Raw genomic sequence first — 15,202 nt, forward strand, 5'->3', positions numbered from 1 at the left:
CCTAAGGGCCTTTAACAGAGTTAACATAAAATAATCAGTTTTATAAGAAGATGTTCCTACTTCTGTATTTGATGTCACCCTTCATTCTCACAGTTCAACCCCAAGAAATGTCACTTGAAGTTACTTCACTTGAAGTTACTTCTCTGGACAGTTTTTGATATATTCAGCAATAAAATGAATCAGCAACCTCTAAAAGCAAAACTTTGTGTTACACTTATGAATTTCTGTCCTGATTTCAACCTTTTATTGCTAAAGTTTTTAGTCTAAATAAGTATTTTTCTCCCAACTCTGGCATGTTGCCTGATTCAACCAAATTGCTGTCCATATTTCTTTTGCTGGTAGCTGCTACCTGGCAATAAGCCATATGATGCCAGAGTGATTAAAGCCAGAATTTAGGTTTCAGGTAAGCACGCCTTCCTTGGATAATAGAAATGTTATATCCAGATCCAGAGTTAAGTCAACCCCTCTCCCACTGACCAAGTAACATAGTTTGGATGTCCGCTCCAAATCTCATGTTAAAATGTAATCACTGTTAGAGGCAGGGCCTGGTGGGAGGTGTTGGAGTCATGGGGGCAAATTCCTCATGGCTTAGTGCCATCCTAGAGATAATGAGTGAGTTCTTGCAAGATCTGGTTGATTCAAAGTGTGTGGCACCTCCCCCACCTCCATTGTTCTCACCTTCGCCATGTGAGACCACTGTTCCTACTTCACCTTTTGCCGTAAGTAACAGCTTCCTGAGGCCTCACTAGAGACTGAGCAAACGCTGGTGTCATGCTTCCTATACAGTCTGCAAAACCATGAGCCAATTAAACCTCTTTTCTTTATAAATTGCCCAGCCTCAAGTATTTCTTTATAGCAATGCAAATGCAGCCTAACACACCAAGTTTAGAGAAGGTAGCTGTCACATTCTAAAAAGGAATTTCAACAAGTTAAGCAAGCAAACCAAGCCAAAAGTAAGGGATGGCTGAGGGACTTAGTAAGTTTCATGCAAGAATAAAGGGAAACGATATTTATAGTTTTTCTCTAATGCAAAAGGCAATGCTTGGAACTTCACTACATTTATTAATTGCCCAGAACCACCCTGGAAGGGAGTTTATTACTACTTCCATTAATAGATGTTAAAGAGACATGTCTGGGTAATGCAGGTGGTGACTAAGCTCGGACTTGCACCCAAGTCTGGTATGAAAGTCCTGTTTCTACTACCTCACATGCCTTCCTAAGGCAAAAAACAAACAAACAAACAAACAAACAAAACAGGAAAGAAGATTTAGAGTTGGACCAAAGAGCTGCTTTCAAATGTGGTTATAGAAGAAAAGCATGAGCCTTGTTCTACTTAACTCCACAAAGAAGAGTTGGGACTGTGGTAAAGAGATAAAACTTGAGATACAATAGAAATACTTTTCTAACACTAGACCTGTCTGAAAACGGGAGGAAAAATTCTGAGTTTCAGTCTCCTGTCATGAAAGGGGTCCAAGAAGAAGCTGAAGGGCCAGGTTTGAAGTCTTCTCTGGTCTCTAAAATAATTTGATCAGGCCATGCGCGGTGGCTCACACCTGTAACCCCAGCACTTTGGGAGGCCGAGTTGGGTAGATCACGAGGTCAGGAGATCAAGACAAGCCTGGCCAAGATGGTGAAACCCTGTCTCTACTAAAAATACAAAAATTAGCCAGGCATGATGGTGGGCGCCTATAATCCCAGCTACTCTGGAGGCTGAGGCAGATAATTGCTTCAACCCGGGATGCAGAGGTTGCACTGAGCAGACATTGCACCATTGAACTCCAGCCTTGGTGACAGAGCAAGACTCTGTCTCAAAAAAAAAAAAAAAAAAAAAAAGATAATAATAATTGGATCCTAAAATTCTAAGCAAAATTCATATTCTCTGAAAAATACTTGATATCACGAACACTTCTTCTCAATAATCTCCATTCCTTCTCAGCTGTGCAACATTAAGAAGTTGGACTGCTGTTCCTCAGTTTGCTTATTTGTGAAGCAGAAATAAAATCATTTTTATGCCATCTTTTAGAAGATTGAGGCGAACAGAAGATTATGATAAAACATTTGAAATTCTTAACCCATCATAAACTCCAAAGAGTGTTATTTACCTCTCCCTACATGTTTATGAGGTCCAAGTCAGTGTCAGAGCTGTCATGGAGGAACTTCCTGTCACCATGCAAAAAGCACAGTGAGTCTTGCTCATATGTGTGTGCCTGGATCACTCATTAGTGTGCATTTGCTGTTGACTCACATGTTTTCCTGCTTTTTCACTTTTTTTTTCTTTCTTTCTTTTTTTTTTTTTGGGGGGGAGACAGAGTCTTGCTCTTATCCCCTAGGCTGGAGTATAGTAGTACGATCATGGCTCACTGCAACTTCACCCTCCTGGGCTCAAAAAGGGATCCTCCAACCACAGCCTCTCGCATAGCTGGGACTACAAGCATGCGCCATCACACCCAGCTAATTTTTGTAGTTTTTGTAGAAATGGGGTTTTGGCATGTTATAGTTGCGAACCACTGAGCTAAAGGGATCCTCTTGCCTCGGCCTTCTAAAGTGCTGGAGTTACAGGTGTGAGCCATCGCATCCGGCCTTGTTCACTTTCAAAGAAAAAAATGTAGTGTTTTGATGCATTGCTTTTAGGTCTTATGAAGTTTTTAGTTTTTTTTTTTTTTTCTACACAAAAGCATAAACTTAGCTACTTATGTGCCATCCTTTTCCTCTAATTTTTCCATCCATGCTTTCCATCCATGCTTTCAACGAAGTATAACACTGTTCTGTTTTATAGTTAATCATATATGTGCTACTCTCTTCCAAAGAGTGGTTATTGGCTGCAATCACTTTCTATTGACCTTATTTAATATACAAAATATTTTAGACGTGGAAAACTCTTACTGTTGTGGAGATCATTAGAATCTTACTTTCTGGTACCTCCCCCTACCACCCCCCCAAAAAACTGGAAGACTATTAAAAGAGAAAGAAATTTATGCCAAATACACATGACTATTAAGGGGCTTGGATATGATTTTTTAAAGTCATCTCTGAAGTTTAAGTAGATATTGATAGGAAAAAATGCCATTATAGAAGTATTCATCATAGACACGATTTAACAAATAGATTCCATGCTTAAAGTAAGAAGACATACATCAACTTTATTTGTGTGCAAAAAAGTGTAGGAATAGAAAATCAAAAGTCTAAGAATGTTTTATTTCATTTGAAAACAAAATTTGTCATTTAAAACCCTGTTGTCTATCTATGGCCAGGTTGTTTTCAGGTCACTGTGGGGGTTCACACCAACTTACAGGATTCCAGCAACAAACTTATTTCAATCCACTGCCCTGTGGCCTATAAAACATGCCTGGCCTCCCAACCTGAGAGGTGCCACTAGCAGTTTTATCTTTTTATCACTCTGACTATGCTTGTATAGAAGACGATGGAGCCTCTCCTTATCGCTGCTTCTGGCTCTCAAGTTAAGAATGCGCCTTTGGAAGACTACGTTAAAAATATGTGGAATTTTGTTGTTGTTGTTGTTGTTCTTTTATTTACAGAAACTACAAAACTGAACTTTGTGTATGTTCATGTGTGTGTATTTAAGGAGGCTAATTAACCAAAATGCCAAAAAATAAAAGCTTAAAAACCTCACAATTTGGATCTTACATCTCTAGGCATAAACATTTGACAAAAAATAGGAAATAAATATTCATTGTGAGGAAGCAAAATGTTCTAAAATGATATAGATTCCCAAACACATAGTCATCCACATAATCTATAATACATGTACATATGCATGCATAGGTATACATATAAATACTACATAAAATAGGAGAAATTTAAAAAACAGTATAAGTTAAATGTTTTTCTTTCATAGCATCTTGCATACATCTATACATTATAAAATATAATTATATATCCATTTAAGATCATCAGTGTTTTATGTTATTTGTTCCATAAAAACACTACTGTAAATGTGGTAGAAGTAATAAATGAAAAGCATAGTCCCTTCGTATGAATAAATACTTGCACATCTCTATTCAAGAAAAAGTGTTATCACATTCACCCTGATAAAATGATATAAAATTTATTTAATTGGTGGGGTGGGGGTGTGGTGACATGTAGGTTATAAAAGAAATAATAAAGTCCTCGTTAAGATGAGCTGAAAGTTTCTGTGACAAGGTAAAGTGCCCTGTACTGAAATAAATGTAGATTCTAAGATTTTCAGCTTTTAAAACAGATTACAACTTTCACCATTACTCTGAAATTTGCTTGCCTCAGATATACTCTAATACTTAGACTGCATAATATTCACCAGTTTAGATGGATTACACCCAGAAATGAAGTCTTGGTGCTAGCATTACATTTAGCATCCATAAAAGCATAAGGAAGTAATCATCATGAATTGAAACTCCAACAAATAATTATTAAACCTCTACTATGTTGCAGGCAGATAAAATTGAATTTTAATATAAAACATTAGTAAAAATTAATTGAGACTCCTAAAACCCATTAAACAAAAGAATATAAAATGGACAAGGAAGAAAAAATTCCGTTAGATCTTGAGCTTCCTACTAGGTAGTAAAATAAAAGTAGAATAGGCTCTGGAGTCAGACCAAACTGAGTTCTAATCCCACTTGCACAGTCAGCAGCTGTAGAATTTTAGACAAGTTGCTATAAGACAAATGATAATGCCACATGGATTAAATAAGATAATGCATGAAAAGTACCTCACATATTCCTTGCATGCTAGCAGATGCTCAATAATGAGATTTTTTTCATTAAACACATAACTGGTAACATCAATGGGAAAATATTAACTCTACCCCTGTACTTAAGAATATAAAAAATTCTTAGTAAATGTTTGCTGAATGAATGAGCACTGAGTGAAATCCAAACTGTGCAGAGGCACACAACAAAGCTGTGACAAGGCTGGAACACTTTCCTCTGTCTCCATTCCCCTGAGATGAATTTCCTAGGAAACAAATTTTACCTTTGTAGTTGTTGTTGCTTTGCATCTGTGGTTGTTTAAATACTTTAAGATCAATATAATTTTTTTTCCTGACTGCTAGTATCATTTCCACAGAGAGAATCAACTTTTATATTATTTTATATTTAACTTTTATATTCATCAACTTATAAGACATTATTACAATGTTCCAAAGTTCTGCTTAACTGGTCTCCCAAAAATTACATCAGGTTGGTAGAGCAAAGGATTGTCAGGTGTTTTGGCAGCAAACCAGATCGAGATCAGGATAGAGTCAGGGTTCTGGGATAAGAACACGTTCCATAGGTTTCCCTCAGCCTTCAATCCCCCCTTAAACTAACAGGCCCTTTCACACTTTTCCATCATGATTAACATTCCCAAGTTCTCCCTGGCATAGGACCACTCTTCTAGTCATCACCTTCTGTAAGCCTCGGCACGGTGGTGAAGTCAAACGTGGAAGAAACCATGAAAAACTGGTTCTGGGCCTGAGTCCTTGCTTTGCTCTGCCATTAGTAAGGTATGTGATATGTGATATGAATTTCAACTAGTTCTCTGTTTTCTCTTTTGTTGAAAGAGACAAAATGTCGGTCATTAAAATCATGGGTTTTGCAGTTAGAAATGTGTGGTTTCATACCCTGCCTTTCCCATTTAAGAGCATTATAACTTTACACAAATTACTTAACTGCTTTCTATACCTCAGTTTCTTGATTTATGAAATGGAAATTAATAATAGCATCTCATTTGATAAGGGTCAATGAGACATCTCTAATATAATTATCAGAGCACAAAGCACATGGTTGGTTATTGTCATCCTTATTATCATTCTTATAATATTATCAAGTGTCTTTCACAGCTATAATTATAATCCTCCATACAGAAACTCTACCTTGTTTACAAGTCTAGAAGTCAGGACTACACGGCAATGAATTAGAAAACAAAAACAGAAAATATAATTGAGATAAAAAAGAAGTAAGGGGAGACAGGAACTACCAAATGCACAGTAGTGAAACAGAGTGGATGTAATATAAAGATGTAGACAATATTATTAAAGAGAACCCAAGTCCATTTGAGATGTTAGGACACTCAGAAACATAGTAAATTCGCATTTAACTAAAGGTGACATACGAATAGAAACCACTTTATACATCAGAGGCATTTTCCCCAATATATATAAACACATTTTACTCTACATCTTTAAAAATACACAACATCATATTTCATTAAGTTTGAGTCTAAATCTATAAATTAGATGCACATGTCTTGTTCCTTTAAGTTTTCTGCAGGAAAAAAAAATAAAAGCAATGTATCCTCTGCCCTTGATCTCCAGTTCAAAGCACATATGACACGGAAGCTACATAAATCACAGTGCTCGGTCGAATTAGTTTGAGAGTTTTAGAATCTGAATTATCACATAAGAAGCCCCCAAAGAAACAGTGAATACAAGCACAACTGTAAGATTTGGGGAAGCTAAAATTAACCATGAAGAAAAGGAAATTTATTCATGGAATGCTCTTAGTTCTGTGAATTTGTTTTACAGAAATCAGAGAATTTTATTGTTTTAAAATTAATGACTATAAAATAAAAGTCAGAAATAATCAGTGCAAAGGAATATTTTAAAATACAACACAAAACAAAAATGCTTCTTAAGGCTGACCTAAGGCTCTTCTAACTCAATACTTAAGAGACAGAATCAGTGGAAAGAAAATAAATTACATCAGAATTTTTAAAAAAGCCATCTACCAGAAATCAAGAGGCTACGATAAATCTATAATCTGTCTGGTTCATAGGGAGAGAAAACCACAAATTTGGCAAAGCACAAAACTGGGAAAAATAATAACCTAGCCATTTCAGAATTGGTTTTCTAACATTATTTTTTCTAGAAAAGTCAATTCTTCGTTGTTGAATTTGTTTTATATAATCAAGATCAAATGACTAGGAATCAGGGGTATTAAAATCAAAAGTGAAGAAATTTGTCTTGTTTTCATCTAAATATGAAATTTATGTATTTCTTTTCTCTTTCAAGGGTAATACCCTAAACTTGACCCTTCGGTTCTTGTCCTCTCTCTAAGGTACTGTGTGTTCACTAATTTTAATTTTACTAAGAACTGCTTGTCCCCTGATTTCTGTTTCAAACCAATGTCTAAATGTTGCACTAGTGTGTAGTATGCTCCTGATGTTAATGACTGTTATGTTATAATGAATACTGGGGCTTGTGAGTCAGTAAGATGAAGAAGAACATGCTATGCATCTGATCTAGAAAACATGTGGACTGCTAGTAGTCCTAAGGCAACTCAATGTTTGACATCTCATGTTATGAATCCAGGGGCATATGGGTCACATTCAATAGTCAGGCTAGAATGATGATATTTTCTAGGTTATCTGTGACATTGATAGCCATTCTTTTTAGCTGACCGTTTACACCTCAAACTGAAAACAGTAACAGCAGCAAAACTGTATTGTAATAATATCATAAAACTATAAAGATTTTTATATGTTTTCCCATACAAAATATAACACCAACACCGACACCATATGTTTAGGAGACATAACCTAAAGGAAGCTAGAGCGGATGGCAGCCTCATTAGAATCCACAACTTATTTCTCTGCTTGAAGTATTACATAGTTTAAATTATCTTATCAAAACAAAATGAGGAGCTGTAAGGATTAGAAAAAATCAGAAAAAGACAAATCCTGGCATAGAGATGCTAGCATAAGCCATCATATCTTTACTGAAATAAATTGTTGGTTATAAGTGGGTCCTTGGCGGAAGGGGACAAACAAACTTAAGACATTGTCCAATTCCTTGAAAGTGGTCTCCATGTTTCATCAAAATAAGAGAGTCTTAAGATTTACAAATGGTATTCTATGCAATTTTTGTATTCATTTATACCATAAAAATAGTGCAAGGCAGTATCCCCAATGTATGCATAATTATGAAAGTTACTATATGATTAGAAAACTATTGTTTCAAAATTTATGTTTTCAAATTTACTTTGAATTTAAAAAGAAAAATTTATTTTATTTAACGCTCTTAGTAATTAAAATAGTGTGACTTCCTAAAGACTGTTGTCTCATCTTCTATTTTAAAGCAAACTGTACTCAGAATTAGCTACGATCTATTGTCTGTGTCAAGAAAGAATGTGTTTTAACTGATAAGTGTTTTATGTTTAATAGTATAGCACCAAAATAGGCTGAAAAAAGAATAATCAGCTTACTCTCTATTATCATAAAACTACAATATTGCCTCTAACATATTTCAAATCTGGAAAGTTATTTGATTAAAAAGTAACATTTTGATAAGTAAGAGAAAAAATATTTAATAACATGATCATAATTTATATTTACTTTCTTACTTTCAAAGAATTTCATCACTTTAATGATAATGTAATATTGTTTTTTTCTTATAAGGGCTAATAACATTTCACAACCTGAAACATGAACTTCAATGCAATTTTGAATAATTGCTGTTTCACTATAACTTGCTGCAGTGGAGAACATTAGCTATTTGAGAACTGACATCTAACATCTGCAAGAATTGTGACTTTCAAACACACTGGCCATCAATAAATATCACTTGTTATTAACTTTAACAGTATTTCTACAAACAAAGAGACCCACCTCAGGCTCAGGACCAGCAATTGCTCCTTTGACTTCAGCAGCTCTCCCACTTTAAAACTGGCATAGCCCAAGAAACTTCGCTGAAAATAACAGAAAGAATGGTTTCATTAACTTGAGGTTCTTTAATATTTTTGCTGTCACATCAATCAAACAAAATGAGTCTTTAGAAGAATGAAATATTAAATCTATTAGCCTGACAAATATTTCAGTAACAGAGATAAAATTATCAATAATATATCTACCTCATGGGGTAGGATTAAAGGGTGAAAATGTATCATTTTCCCTAAAAGAAAAGAGACCAACAGGCTAGAAAATAACAAGAGGTAAAATACAGCACCCAGAGTTGTTTCACTAACTATAATTTTCTCTGCATATGAAAACTGAAGGAAAATAAAAGATGATATATTTTCCATATTTACCAATGCTGTTGTTCCTCTTATTAGAATTCCTCAAATCACTGGCAGCAACAACTTTGTATTCCAGATATGAGCAAATCTGTTAGTTGGAGCTATTTTTATGTGGGACTTTGTACAAGTTATAAATAGAAATGTTATATTTTTCCCCCATCACAGCAATGTTTAAAAGCATTTTTCCTTTGTTATTTCTTTACTAGCATGGGACAATTTCATTCTAATACACGAAAGAAAATGGCACTTATTAAGTTACATTTTTTTAAATTGCTTTTTTAGTCTATTATATTAGGTGTTGATGACCTATGAATATCTGCTTTCTACTCTTTTTGACTCAATGTAAAGAATAAAACTCCAAATTGTTTTTTTTTTTTTTTTTCTTTCCCAGGATAAAAAACCTATCATCTCTTTCTAATATCCCTGGCTACTTCTGACTTAAAAGTCACAATATTATGGGATAAATAACATGAAAAAGAGCTCTCATTCTTCCCTTAAGGTCAAGGAGTAAATATGAAAATATCAAACCCATGTTATTTCTTATGCCACTGCAGCCTAACAAAATGTAAATACTCCACAATAAGTCAATGCTACTTCTTCCAGAACAGTCTCTCATCATAGGTCTGCTGCTGAGCTACACTAGAATGAGAGGCTGGACAAAGAATTTGAGGGTAATGGCATCTTTTTCGAGGTAAATAGGAAATTATTTCACACATGAAAGGCTGCATCCACACTCAGAGACTGCTAGGCAGAGGAAAGAAAAGCTTCAAGTCGGAATTTTTCTCCCTCTTTTAAAATCTTTAACTTAGATGAGCTGGTCCTAAAAGGCTTAAAATCAAACATTTGGTAAAACACGCTGGTCGTGGTGGCTCACGCCTGTCATGCCTATAATCCCAGTGACCCTGGAGGCTGAGGCAGGAGGACTGCTTGAGGCCAGGAGTTCAAGGCTGCAATGAGCTAAGATTGCATCACTGCACTCCAACCCAGGAGACAGAATGAGACCTCATTTCTAAAAAAGAAAGAAAAGGAAAGGAAAGGAAAGGATAGGAAAGGCAACTCGGTTCTGAAGGAGATACCCAAATATTGCTAATGATAAACCCAATTAATTGACTTAAAATTCAAAGACCTGGTTTAGACACAAAGTCACCAAAGCCTGAAAAATCTGAGACCAAATTATTAGATGAGGAACATTAGGCAAAAAATAGATTTGTGGAAACAAGCTCTGATGATAGGACCGTGAGTGATGAAGTAGAGTGAATCAAGATAAAGAAGGAAGTTTGTGAGCTGTATCAGCAAAGCATGCAGAAATTAGGGTGACTTTTCAGCCAGGGGCAGAGAGGACTCGGAGAGATCCTCCTGAATCAAAGTATTTATGTCACCTCACCAGAGATGCTCTCTAAGACATCCCTATACGAAAGCACACTCCCCTCCCACATACACACTCCTCTATTCTCTATTCCTGTTTTATTTTTCTCTATTGACACTTATGACCACCTGACATATTATATATTTATTTTGCACCTCTCCAAAAAATAATTGAGAATTGAAGCTCTACAAAGAGCTTTCTTTTGTTTGCTGATAACCCCCCACTGCATAGCACACAGTAGGTATCTGGTACATATTTACTGACAATGAATGAATGAATGAACAAATGGCATAGACACTGGCCTTTAAGTAAGTGATTCTATTACATATAGGAGAAAAGCTACCTTTGCAGCTATTTATAAACTACTGTTCACTGAAATGTGGAAAATCAAAACAATTTTATAGTATGCAGATCGTATACTGCTGTAGTGAATTTTATTTTAGCATTTTGTATTTTAAAGAGATGTCGATCTTACTTTCTCCTTCACTGATAATCATAGCTTTTAAATTAAATTCCCACTCATTATTCACACTCAAAGAAAACTTTTAAGCAATCATAAATTTTATGAAACTCCAAAATTGCAAATTATTTTCTATTTGCCTTTTAAGATTTTGGAGGTATGGGTGGTTTTAAAATTGATAAAGCTGGCTACACATGTCATGAGATTATTGCAGTCTTTTTGGCAATAAAAGTAGCAAACACCCCACAGTGGAATGTAGCAGCTAGAGACAGGTGGAATTGCTATTTTCAGACATAAACTATGGACTCACCATAAGGCACAGCTGCAAGTAAAATTTATGACCGCAAGTCATTGAATGTTTCTCCTGTTCACCAGACCAGGAGCTCCTGTGGAAGCAGAACGTTGGCTTGTCCATCTCCTAGCTGAGCCCAGTGTCTGGAACAGAGGGCTGCACTGTGAGTGCATACAGTGTGCCAAGAACAATGCCCATGAGTCAGGTTTATCCATTATAACTGTCAGCCACTTGCTTGATCTCAAAGGATAATGAAAATGGTCACAAATAATAAAATCTGTTAAAAATCAATCTGGATAACGATGGCATCATACCATTACATTTCGTAAACTTGTCAGACAAGAGGAGTTATTATTTGGGTACCAATGCTATCCTTTTTTTAATCCTAAAAATAACTGTATATCAGGACTGCATGTTGTATAAACTACATTAATAAAATCAAAAAATGTGAGGACAATTGTTTTATGCTGCAACAACAAACAATGGGATTGCCTATACATTTACTTTCGAGCTGGTTTCTTGTTTTCTTCACCTCAGTATAAATAAAAGAAGGATTCTCTCACCCTCAAAGTTAGAAAATAAATCTTTTATCTATGTGAATACTCACTGAACACATTGTAAAAGAATGAATGAGAAGAGTCTTCTCTATAGCACATGATGCTAATGTAAAAGAATAATTTAATATAAAGCTATTATATCTTTGCTATCACTGTCATTATAATTATATAATTTAAGATAATTTATTTAATTTTTTAATATTTTAAATATAATTCAAGGGACAGTGTTTTCTGAATATCCTTTGGTGCTGTTTCTATCAGGGGAAAATAAAGACAAAAAAGGGAAAGCTTCACTAGAGTTGGAGCTCAGAGGTCTGAAGTGTGGCTCTAAATCAGTTATTCTGTCCAAAAATGAAAATCTGGACAATTACATTACTTCTTCCGGCCCCCAGGCTCACCATCTACTGCTAAGCACTGTCACTTCTTATTTCCCTGTCTTCTCTCTTATGAAGTCTGCGGTCTTGAACAAGTTGCTCCACTACTCTAGGCCTTAGTTGCTGAAAAAAATGCCTATGATAACTTATCTTTCTCATAGTTATTGCTATGAGAAAATTAAAGAAATCCAGACAAAGAAAGCATCTAGCCAGGAAAATAAAACATCTCCCATAAATAGAACTTTGCATAGTGATTAAGATCATATAACCAGAAGTCAGATGCCTTAAAAGTATCTAATGTGCAGCTTAAACACTTTTGGGAAAAGGCAAAGTATTTTTTAAAAAGTCTATGAGAAATGCCTGCACTACAAAAAGAAAAATATATCTTTAAAAATAAATATGAGATTTGGGGGAAATATAACTTAGAATAAATTTTAGAAAAAAAGATGAAAAAAGATACAAAGGCCAAAAGGTACTATGTAGTTATGAATATTATTGTTGAGAAAATGTTACCTATGATCCCTTATAGCTGTTAGTAGTATTAGATTACATAGGATGTTTAAAGAACCTTAAGGATTAAGGCCCTGATAGTCTGTAGATAAGGAACTGGGGCCTCTAAGAGTAAACTGGCTTACACATGTCACAGAACTAGTTAATCTGCAGAAGGCAAGTTAGAACCCAGGTTTCTTGCTTCTCTGTCCAGCATTCTTTCATCCCCACCATGCTATGCCTCATTTCTAGGACAGGTGGCAATTCCCTTTCCTTCTGACAGACTCTCTGCCTGCACGACATGCAGCTCTAGCCTTTCTTGCCTGCTCATGACAACTCAACACTCAGTTATTCTGGTGCAAGAACCCCAAAGCAGATAATCATTAAATTGTTTGCTGCATGATTTCCATCACTCTCACCTAGCTGGAGAGTAATATCAAACAGGGTGAAAAAAAGTGGTGCATCTGTCAGAATCCCTGGCCTCTCCCTACAGGGAGTGTCCACATGAATAGTGTAACCCACCAGCCCCTGCAGCCACTCCGAGCAAGTCACAGATATCCAGACTGCTCACTAGGATTTGACATCTCCATGCAGCAGATCCTCTGTGGCTCCCCAGTCACCTTTAAGGGGGTCAGAGAAGGTACAGCACCATACATATGGCCACAGCTGGCCAAACCTCCATCATTCATATCCTTCTCACAAAGCCTGTATTCAAAGCACAGGTTTTTTTTTTTTTATATTACAATTTGCATGGACCTCCTCAAATTTATTCAACTATTCTCCAGAGCTGTGCTATCCAATGGGTAGCCACTGGCTTTAGCATGTAAAATGTGGCTACTCCAAGTTGAGATGTACACTCAGTATAAAATGCACACTGAATTTAGAATGCTTAGTATGAAAAAAGAAATATGAATATATAATTTATTGTATTGATTAAACTTTGGAATAATATTTTGCATATACTGGGTTAAATAAAACATATTAAAATTAATTCAGCCTGTTTCTTTTTACTTTTTAAAAACACAGCTGCTTGAAAATTTAAAATTACATATGCGGCATGCATTTTGTGACATACATTATATCCATTGAACACTGCTGGTTTAGAGGTTAAATGAATATATCAATAATATTTTGACCTATCATCATAAAACAACACATAGGAACTATGGTATAAGTTTTAAAAGGTCTCTGAAAAGTTGAAGTTTCTATCATAAGACTGATACACAACATCTCTTACACATAACTCACAGGCAGGCCTTTTCATAGCCCCAGTACTTTTTTTTTTTTTTCTGTTAACCATAACAGGTATGGTTATATTATTTCCTACCCCATAGGAAGAGAAAAAGACCAAGTGAACTATTAACATTGAAAAATACATCAAAAAGAAAAAATAATTGGGAAGAAATCTATTAAAAGTTGATGAATAGCCCAAAGGAAACATTAAAAAGCACTTTAAGGTAAAGTCATTTATTACAGAATTTTATCTTTACTTGTGAATATACCTCAAAAGGTCTAAGAGCATATATTAGTATTTGCTTGACTAAGTCATCAAGAAAATATTTGGGTGCATCCACTAAATTCTGTTTGAGAATGCAAAGAAACACACCTAACATATTTGAAAGATTATAATAAAAAATCTAAACTCCTTTAAAAAAAATTAGAGTACTTGAAGAGTAAAGCCCTTGTATGTTGTAATGACAGAGCCATTACTGGCTCTGTCCTCGGCCAAGAGCTTAAACTCTCCGATCTGTTTTGCGGTGTCCAAGGAAATATTTTGAGGATTCGCTGATAGGATGTATATTAACAAGTGGTACTTCATAGGTGGTCAACATGTGTTAACTTCTCTCTCCAAAATAACACGTAATCTGAGGGTGTTAGGAAGTCAATGCATGCTAAATTGTTCCTTTTTAGACTTATTCTTACCGTGCTTGAACTTTAGTTCTGAAATCTTACCTGCCATTTTGAGTTCTGATGGGTCACAAAATTTGTTAGATTTTCTACTGTATTATTACAGTAATTTCTAGAATCCCCCACCCATTTATTTCTGGTGGTTCTAATAATACATAAAATGGTTGGCAAAATAAAATCATGGTGTGCTTTTTGATTTATTCAATACATAGTTCATAGATTTGCTAGCTTCCAAGCACAAAGCCAGGAATATTAGAAATAGAGACTTTGCTCTCATGGAGTACATCTAGCAGGAGTGTGGAGACATGACTGATTGCCTATCTAACTCACTTTCTGCCCTTTCTTCATTACTAATAGCACCTCAGTTTTGTTTAAATGAGAATTGTACCCAGATTCTCTTCTAGCTAAGGACTTAGGCGCTCCCCAATACTATGTAAGTGACAGTATACAAAATGAAATTTCCCAGGAAATTATTGTTTTCCAGAATTGAAGGGATAGGCCAGCTGAGCTTTTTGCCCTTGATTTTTCACTCAACCCAGAATGTGCTACCTGGGGTACCATGGCCAGTTTGTGCAATTCTCTAAGAAAGAAGGACCAGGAAGATGGATAGAGTCTGGTTGCTTCAAGTCACTTTTGAGTAGCTGAAGCCCTGGACAATTTTCCCAAGACTTCTATAACATGAGAAAAACAAACCCATTCATTAGTTTTAAGCCAGTTTGTCACGTTACTTGCCTTAGGGTACGTTCCTAATTGCAAAAATAGGCA

The 15,202-nt window shown here is 35.4% G+C and overlaps 1 protein-coding gene across 64 annotated transcripts in view; it reads right to left on the reverse strand.

The window, feature by feature from the left end:
• Positions 1 to 15,202, reverse strand: part of INPP4B (inositol polyphosphate-4-phosphatase type II B) — an 823,376-nt gene that overhangs the window by 273,714 nt on the left and 534,460 nt on the right. For 56 of the 64 annotated variants that reach the window (NR_169615.1, NR_169599.1, NR_169623.1 and 53 more), the window contains one exon: positions 8,585 to 8,664. The exons of 1 other annotated variant lie outside the window; for it this stretch is intronic. Coding sequence is in view for 36 of the 63 variants with exons in the window: in NM_003866.3 (NP_003857.2) it covers positions 8,585 to 8,664 (80 nt within the window). In the remaining 27 variants the exon portion in view is untranslated. Of the gene's footprint in view, positions 1 to 8,584; positions 8,665 to 8,826; positions 8,960 to 9,003; positions 9,072 to 11,127; positions 11,266 to 15,202 lie in introns of those variants that run through there. 7 more of the 64 variants (NM_001385458.1, NM_001385457.1, NM_001385459.1 and 4 more) reach the window with 3 other exon arrangements.

The sequence above is a fragment of the Homo sapiens genome, chromosome 4 (assembly GCF_000001405.40).
Source record: "Homo sapiens chromosome 4, GRCh38.p14 Primary Assembly".
In the NCBI taxonomy this organism is placed as follows: Eukaryota; Metazoa; Chordata; class Mammalia; order Primates; family Hominidae; genus Homo; species Homo sapiens.